This window comes from Homo sapiens, chromosome 8, assembly GCF_000001405.40.
Source record: "Homo sapiens chromosome 8, GRCh38.p14 Primary Assembly".
Lineage (NCBI taxonomy): Eukaryota > Metazoa > Chordata > Mammalia > Primates > Hominidae > Homo > Homo sapiens.
In genome coordinates this window covers 134,161,400-134,169,719 of record NC_000008.11, presented here as the reverse complement: position 1 = coordinate 134,169,719, position 8,320 = coordinate 134,161,400, and the positions used below count along the sequence as shown (strand labels likewise).

Sequence of the window (8,320 nt, the reverse complement as noted above, 5' to 3'; positions counted from 1 at the left end):
TCAGGTCTACAGAAGAATACGAAAGGGTCAGACTCAGAACATGCAGAGACAAAATTGGCCAGAAATTCCTTCTGTTGACAACACGATACAAGGCTCAGAGCAGATATTCCATTTCTCAACTCAAAATATTCTTCTAGGAAGGAAAGCTTTTGACCATCTGCCTAGGGGGCCATTTGCACCATGTCCTCATAAAGTGATCTTGGTATTTTTCATAGGATTTCACACTCCACATGTTGACTGTGACTTATAGATCCCATTTCAAATGTTATTTATTTCTTCTTTTTTGATAATCAGCCAAAGTGAAAATCTGTGTGCTGCCAACGAATCAATCTCAACGTCATTCTTACTGGTGCCACCTTGGGCTAGAGGCAATGCGGGTAAATGTGTCGGGGACTAGGCTAGGACATTTCCAGGATGCCTGGTTTAATATACACCCTGAGAGTGGCAGGAGGCAGACAAATGCCTAGGAAGACAGGGCTGGGTTCCCAGTGAAACTCCACCTTCAAGACAAAGACAATTTAAAGTCTAGCTGTAAGTCCCAGGTAAATCCATGGACTGGATTGAGAATCTGTCTTTCCTTTTGATGTGCTTTCCTCGGATTGTCCCTACCCTTCACCTATTTTACATATACCTACCTTCCCTAATTGGCATGTTACACTGTCATGCCAACCTTTGAGTGCTGCCTTTAACTTTTCTGCATACTCACAAACCAATCAGAGTGCACTCCCCTACTCTGGGCCCATAAAAGCCTGGGAGTCAGCCACACTGGGAGAGAAACCACTGGACTTTGGGTGGGAGACCACCTCCATGTCCCCTTTCTGCTGAGAGCCATTCTGTCGCTCAATAAAATTCTTCTCCACCCTCCTTATCCTTCAACTGTCAGTGTATCTTCATTCTTCTTGGATGTAGGACAAGGACTTGGGAACTGCTGAAAGTGAGTATGAGCTATAACACAGGTGGGCTGAGCCCATGCACAAGCCAGGCACGGCCTGGTGGGCCAAGTGGGCAGGCCACCTCCTGTGGCAGGAAGTGTGCCCAAGCAAGGTCCAGGCGGGGGCGTTGCCAGCTGGAGGTCCCCAGCTGGCAAAGTGACCGAGAAAACTCCTGCATCAACCCTAATCCTATGAGGTAGGTAAGACTCCCCAAACCTATATGCCCATGAGATCAGCTGAAGAGCTTTATGAAAATGAATTCCAATCCAGGCCTATTGGAACAGAAACTCTGGGATAGAAACATGAAATTTCTATTTCAGTAGTTATCCAGGGAATTATGAGGCAGTTTGAGATTAACCAGCATCTGAGAGAAAACAGACGTTGTTGTCTCACTTTATTCATGAGGAAGCTGAAGTTCCTAGAGAGAACATGCATCCCAGATGACTGTGCTAATTGTCCCTGGTTCTCACCCATAGGCCCTCTTCAGAACATCTGTTGAGGGACCCCTTACAATTGAAAGTATGGTCTGCAGAGTGGCAGCATTAGCATCACCTGGGAGCTTCTTAGAAGTACAAACTCCCAGACCCCCTCACCACAATGGCAAATTCAAAATCTGCATGTTAGCCAGTTCCCCAGGGGACAGTACTGCTCTGTACTTCTGGGGCTAGGAACTGAAAAAATTGCATTTAACAGACTCCACTGCCAGCAAACCTCCTTTAAAGTTTTTGCCAGTGGGAGGCACTAAAGGAGATAAAAAGGTAAGAGGAAGAAAGGAGCTATTTTTGTCCACTTTTGCATTTCCTACAGAGGCAGGAGCAGGGCCAGTGAATTTGAGACAGGCTACTGTGGGCTCCAGCATGTGATCATGATTTGTGAGTTTCTGGGTAAGTAGGGGCTCTGGGGCTCCTGCTTGTGGTGGCGTTGTAACGTAGTAACAACAGCAGCAGGGACCTGGCACTGGTGGTGTTCATGAGCTCCAGCCAAGGGGCAGCAGAATGTTCTTGACTTAAGAGTAACAGTCTCTTCTCTTCTGAACCTTCAGCTCTTCCAACTCCATTGTAAACAATTACTGGCATTAAGCCCCAGTCTTCTTGAAATTACAAGAGTGTTTCTCTTTAACTGGACATTAACTGATATAATATTATCATATAACTATATTCCTTATCAAAGGCGTGGGGTGGAGATTCAGCTCCAGAGTCTGTGACTTCAAAGCTCACATTCTTAATTGATACCAAATATGCAAAAGCAGTGTACAATAAAGCATTCGCTTATGTGGGGCAAATGGGATGTCTCTTTCCTATTCATTCTTTTATTCACTCAAAAAATATATGCTGAGGGCCGGACACAGTGGCTCATACCTGTAATCCCAGAACTTTGGGAGGCCGAAGTGGCCAGATCACTTGAGGTCAGGAGTTTGAGACCAGCCTGGCCAACACAGTGAAACCCCATCTCTATAAAAACTACAGAACTTAGCCAGGTGAGGTGGCAGGCGCCTGTAGTCCTAGCTACTCGAGAAGTTGAGGTAGGAGAATTGCTTGAACTCAGGAGGTGGAGGTTACAGTGAGCTGAGATCGTGCCACTGCACTCCAGCCTGGGTTACAGAGTGAGACTGTCTCCAAAAATAAAACAAAAAAAAAAAATACACACACACACACACACACACACACACACACACACACACACAGACACTGAGCACTTATTCTGTGCCAACTGCTGTGATAAGTTTTGGGGATCCAAAGTTGAATAAAGCCTATCTCCTGCTATCATGGAAAGAAGATTCATAGGCAATTTATTATAAGACGGTGTGGTAAGTTTAACTTTGGAAAGTTAAATGAATTACTATATGCTAAGTGCTTAATGACTGGCACATGGGACTTGCTAAAAATAAACATGGTAGTTATTATTATTACTTCTAAAGCTCTCTTATAGATGACTGTTCCAAATGGTTTTTCCCAGTAATTTAGTTCATTCACTGTGGCAATCAAATCTGTATTTCTCATCCCATCAACCTAAAATAAAGTCGGAGTGGGGAACACTCTGGTCTGTCTTCCTCTTTTTAGAAGGACACAGATCTCATCATGAGATCCTCACTCTCATGAACTCATCTAAAAGTAATTACCTCTCAAAGGCCCTGTCTCCAAATACCATCACATAGGGGGCTAGGGTATCAATATGAATTTTGGGGGGAACACAAATATTTAGTCCATAACAACAGATAATACCAAGTTTTGATGAGGACATGCTCCACCGTAACATTAGTATGTTTCTGGTGGGCGTGTAAAGTGGTACAACCACTTTGAAAGCCAGTTTGGCAATTAAATAACATTAAACCTGAACCTGTGAGATATATGTATCACAAAAATTCTACTGTTAGGAATCTATTCAAGAAAAATAAAGATGCATGTCTACAAAAGACATACACCTGAATGTTTACAGAAGCAGTATTCATAATAACCAAAACTGCAAACAAACCAAAGTTTTATTACCTGTCAGATAAATGAAATGTGATATGCCACACGCAGTGGAGTACTATTCACCAATAAAAAGTTACAAATTACTGATACGTGCTTCAACATAGATGAACATTAAATATACTATTCTAACTAAAGAAGCCAGACACAGAACACCCCATATCACATTTCCATTCAATGAAATGGCCGTAAATGGCACAATTATACGGACAGCAGATCAGTGGTTGCCTAGGGCTGGGAATAGGAGGTATTTAACTATAAAGGAGCATAAGGGAAATTTAGGAAATGTAGAAAGTGTTCTAAAACTGGATTGCATTGATGGTTGAACAATTATAAAATTTACTGAAAATTATAGAAATATATACCTACAATGGGTGAATTGCACATACATTTTATCTCAAGAAAGCTATGAAAGAACACACCAATTACTTTTTGTCTTAAGGGAAGTGATTGGCAAATTTATTTTATATTTTTTCAAAGTAAAATTCTTGTAACTAAAAACATGCATTCAGGTTTCCTAATTTGAGATACAGCCATAGTCACATTTTTATCTCTGACTTAAGTCATTTCACTTCATCTCTATGATTTTCGGTTTTTTCATATGTGGTTAGAGAAGGCTGAACTACATCATTTCTAAAGTCTCTTCTGGGATGGGTGCAGTGGCTTATGCCTATAATCCCAGCTACTTGGGAGGCTGAGGCATGAGAATTGCTTGAACCTGGGAAGCGGAGGTTGCGGTGAGCCAAGATCATGCCACAGCACACCAGCCTGGACAGCAGAGTGAGACTCTGTCTCTAAATAACCAAATAAATAAATAGTCTCTTCCATCTCTGATTTTGTAGAATTCTTCAAATTGGTTTAGTTTATTTCTTGACCTGTCTGTTAGACTCAGGATGCCAGAACATTTCCTATAGCTTGTCTTTGTTGTCAGGTCAGAGTTTGGAATAGACCATCTTATACTTTCCTGCTTGATCAAGAACATCAGAGAATGTCTTCATTTGATTATCACTGTCCTAAGGAGTTGGGCACAGCTGGCTAAAAATTGAGCAATATTTGGCCAATTTATTTTAAGTGGCTCTGCTCACTTTTTAACTTAATTTTACATGAGAGAGAATTTTACTGGGCAAATTTAGCTTATCACACATAAATGGCAGCATTAAAACTAAAACAGAATTGATTTTTGCCTACCAAGGCTTGTTGGTCTAATTTATGGACTACAGTGTAATATCGGAAGTCCAAAAATTATTTTGTTGTCATCGATTAAAAAGTGTAGATCTCTTCTGTTTTTCTTTTGCTGATCCTGATGCGTTTTGACATAGACATGGTGCCCTTTTTAAGTATTGAAGGGGTAATATGTGAAGTCACATTCAACTTTTACATTGGAATAATGCATTGCCATGTGTGCTGAATGTATGCATGCCCTCAAAATTCATGTTGAGATCTTAACCCCCAAGTTGATAATATTAGGAGATGATGCCTTTGGGGGTGATTAGGTTGTGAGAGTTCACTCCTGTAAGTGACCCTTGAGAGCCTTTTTACCCTTTCTGCCACATGAGGACACAACAAGAAGATGGCCATCCATGAACCCAGAAGAAGACCATGGCTGGACACTGGAACTACTGGCACCTTGATCTTAGCTTTCCAAGTTCCAAAACTTTGAAAAAATAGATGTTTATTGTTGAAGGCACTCAGTCTATGGTAGTTGGTTACAGCAGCCTGAGAAGATTAAGGCGTAGATTAATGTTCAAATTTAGTATGCGTGCAGATATGCTGGGGACCTTGTTATAATAGAAACGCTGTTACTATTGTTTTGGGTGTTCCCTGAGGGTCTGCATTTCTAAAAAGCAGAATTTGCCATTGCTGGTTGTTGGGCCACACTCTGAGTTGAAGTGTTAGAATTAAAAAACAGAAACTGTAAAAGGGGCCAGGTGTGGTGGCTCACGCCTATAATCCCAGCACTTTGGGAGGCTAAGGCAGGTGGATCACCTGAGGTCAGGAGTTGGAGACCAGCCTGGCCAACATGGTGAACCGTCATCTCTACTAAAAATACAAAAATTAGCCAGGTGTGGTGGCACGCCTCTCTAATCCCAGCTACTCGGGAGGCTGAGGTGGGAGAATTGCTTGAACCTGGGAGGTGGAGGCTGCAGTGAGCTGAGATCATGCCACTGTGCTCCAGCCTGGGTGACAGAGTGAGACCCCATCTAATAAAATAAAATAAAATTAAATTAAATTAAATTAAATTAAATTAAATTAAAATAAAATAAAATAAAATAAATAAAATAAAATAAATAAAATAAAATAAAATAAACCATAAAAGGGAAGAAGTTACAGGGAACAGCCTCAGGATGATGACAGTGAAAACCATCTACAAAAGGAATAACAGACCTCCAGGGGCCATAATTCTCCATCCCTAATAGTGGTCACGAGAGGCCGTAAGAACTGCAGCAGAAGGAACTAGTGGTTGAGGGTCTTGCTAGACCAGAAGACTTCAAATGTCTTCTCTCAGTTTTCACATTTTTGGAGCATCTCTTTGACTTTGATGTGTATATATAACTACATATTCCTAGGAACTTTAATTTTCCTACTGATTGCAAGCGTTTTTGGATTTTAAGGGTCATGCTTTACTTGTGCTGGGGCCGCTGCATTACAAGCACAAGCGTATCAATTGCATGTCCTGCTCTGCCTCTTTCTCTTCCTGGAGGAGTAAACACCGGTCTTCCTGTCCTCTGGCTCCTGGTAAGCAAGAACACAATGGACGGGCCTAGTTCTCTCTGTGACTCTTAGACCTGGGTTAGGAAGGGCGGCCCCTATGATCTTTCTCAGCAGATTCTTGTTAATGAGAGTGATAACTTGGGTCTCTGTCCAGTGTTTATCCACAAGCTCAACCTCGTGTTTTTCCTGAATATGAAATTTTCAATGGTTAAATAGATGAATAAAGATGGCATTTTGTTCTTACTTGACAATTGATCTTTACACATGTACTTCATTGATCAGACACTTTAAAGGAATAAAAAAGGGTGACCATTGGACTTCTACCTGCAAAAAGTGGTCGTCATCTCTCTGAAGGATTCCCTTGAAGGGGGATCAGTCAGCTTCTCCCAGAGCCACAGTGGGGATCCTGCAGTTGCTGAGTATGTCTATTTTAATTATGCCTTTTGTAACTGGGAAAGTAACCACAGGATGGGCCCAGGGATCCAATGGTCTCATGAGGAGATGGGCCTGAGCTAAAACTCCATTGATCACCTCACTTACAGTGGATTTTAAGCTCTCCGCTTTGACTGACTGGTGGGGCCAGAGTGACATTTTTGTTCTCCTGGAAACAGTATCAGTTTAGAGCCTATGTCCGGTAATCCCCAGAAGGTATGAGTATTTCCTTTTTCCCAATGCACAGTCATCCTGGCAACAGACCATAGGAAGGGCTCATTTTCAGTAGGCTGGGAAAAGTCATCCTATTTAGTAGATTGAAATAATTTTCCCTGGACTATCTAGTTAGGCTGGTCCTCCCAGCCCCCTAAGTCCTAACAAAATTAGTAAGAATGGCCCTCTTCCCAGCCTGGAAGAGCTCCCTGGGAATTTTCAGTTACAGAAAATTCTGAAAAGGCCCAAGAGAGGCCTTTCTGAGCCCTAAAGTGGGACTTGCTTCCATACCAACAGCTGCTAATTCTATGTTTAGTCACCCCCACAGGAATTTAAGATACAGTACGAGTCATGATCATTATTTATTTGATAAATACATGGTGGATCCAAAGAGTAGCAGATACTAAGGAGGATGCCAGGAATGCAACAATGAACAAGACAGACATGGCCTCTGACTTTAAGGAATGTGTAGTTTCGTGAACTGGATCACTTCAACCACATGTGAGAAGTGCTTGTGAGAGGCTGCTGGCTGAGACTTGAAGGCATCAGAGAAAAAAATCCTGGGAAAGGTGCGTCTATCCTGACACCTGGAGGAACATCCGAACTAAGAGATGAGGAGCAACAGGGACCAGACTGAGAGACTGTCATAAGCCAAGGTTCTGAAGAGGAAGGAGTTCAGAGGAGGAATGACATCACTGGAATGTAGGTTTTGATGGGTGAAATGTGACAGACTCTCTCCTTCACCAAACTTTAGTCAGGCTGCTCTTAGTCCCCTGCTCAGCTAGGTGTCAACCTTTGCCCCCATCCTTGCTGGAATTGTATAGCCCAGCTGCAGCAAGAATCCTGCTAAGTCAGTTTAGTGGGAAGCCTCCACCCGTGATATTTGATCACATTCCTCACTCCCCACTCATCACCCTGGGCTGTCTTCAGCAAGAATCCTGTTTTTAGTTTAGCAAGAATCCTCCTACCCTTGATATCTCCTCTTAGTAATTTTCCATCCACTAACCACCCTCTCCTGCTCCTTGGCTGAAAACCCTAAAGCTTCCTGGTTGTATTGTGAATTGTGCTCAGTTCTCGTCTGAAGTCTCTTTTCCCCTATTAAGATGGTTTCTGAATAAAATTTATCTTTACCCCCTTAATGAGTGTCTGGCTCTGGTTGTCTTCAACAAAGGGAAGAGATTGAGGCTGGAGAGGGAAATATTAGCCTGGCTAGGAAGTGATTTTAATTTTTAGAGGGCTATTACATGGCTTAAGAATTCTAGTACTATGGTATATTTACAGGTTATAAAAATCAGTCTCATTAAATAATAGAATGAGGGGTAGGTGAATTCAGGAGAACAGTCAGATATCCAAATTAAATCCATACCAATAAAATTAGTTTATTGTTACATAGTAAGAAGATGGTCAGGCCCCTTTAAGAGTCATTGGTTTTTTATATAACTTTAAAATAAGCCCAAACAAAAATGAAATGAGCCTAAACAGCAAGATTCAATGACATGGAGGCCTCTTTAGAGGAAGTGATGACTAAGTAACAATCTGGAATCAGGAAGATAAAGCTGT

The 8,320-nt window shown here is 41.9% G+C and overlaps 2 annotated features.

Annotated features, from left to right (window-relative positions):
• Window positions 445-944: an enhancer, noted in NCBI's record as "H3K4me1 hESC enhancer chr8:135181019-135181518 (GRCh37/hg19 assembly coordinates)". NCBI's record gives its function as "activates a minimal SCP1, AML or CMV promoter by ChIP-STARR-seq in naive H9 embryonic stem cells {active_cell/tissue: H9 hESC(naive)}" and the evidence as "EXISTENCE:reporter gene assay evidence [ECO:0000049][PMID:30033119]".
• Window positions 945-1,446: an enhancer, noted in NCBI's record as "H3K4me1 hESC enhancer chr8:135180517-135181018 (GRCh37/hg19 assembly coordinates)". NCBI's record gives its function as "activates a minimal SCP1, AML or CMV promoter by ChIP-STARR-seq in primed H9 embryonic stem cells {active_cell/tissue: H9 hESC(primed)}" and the evidence as "EXISTENCE:reporter gene assay evidence [ECO:0000049][PMID:30033119]".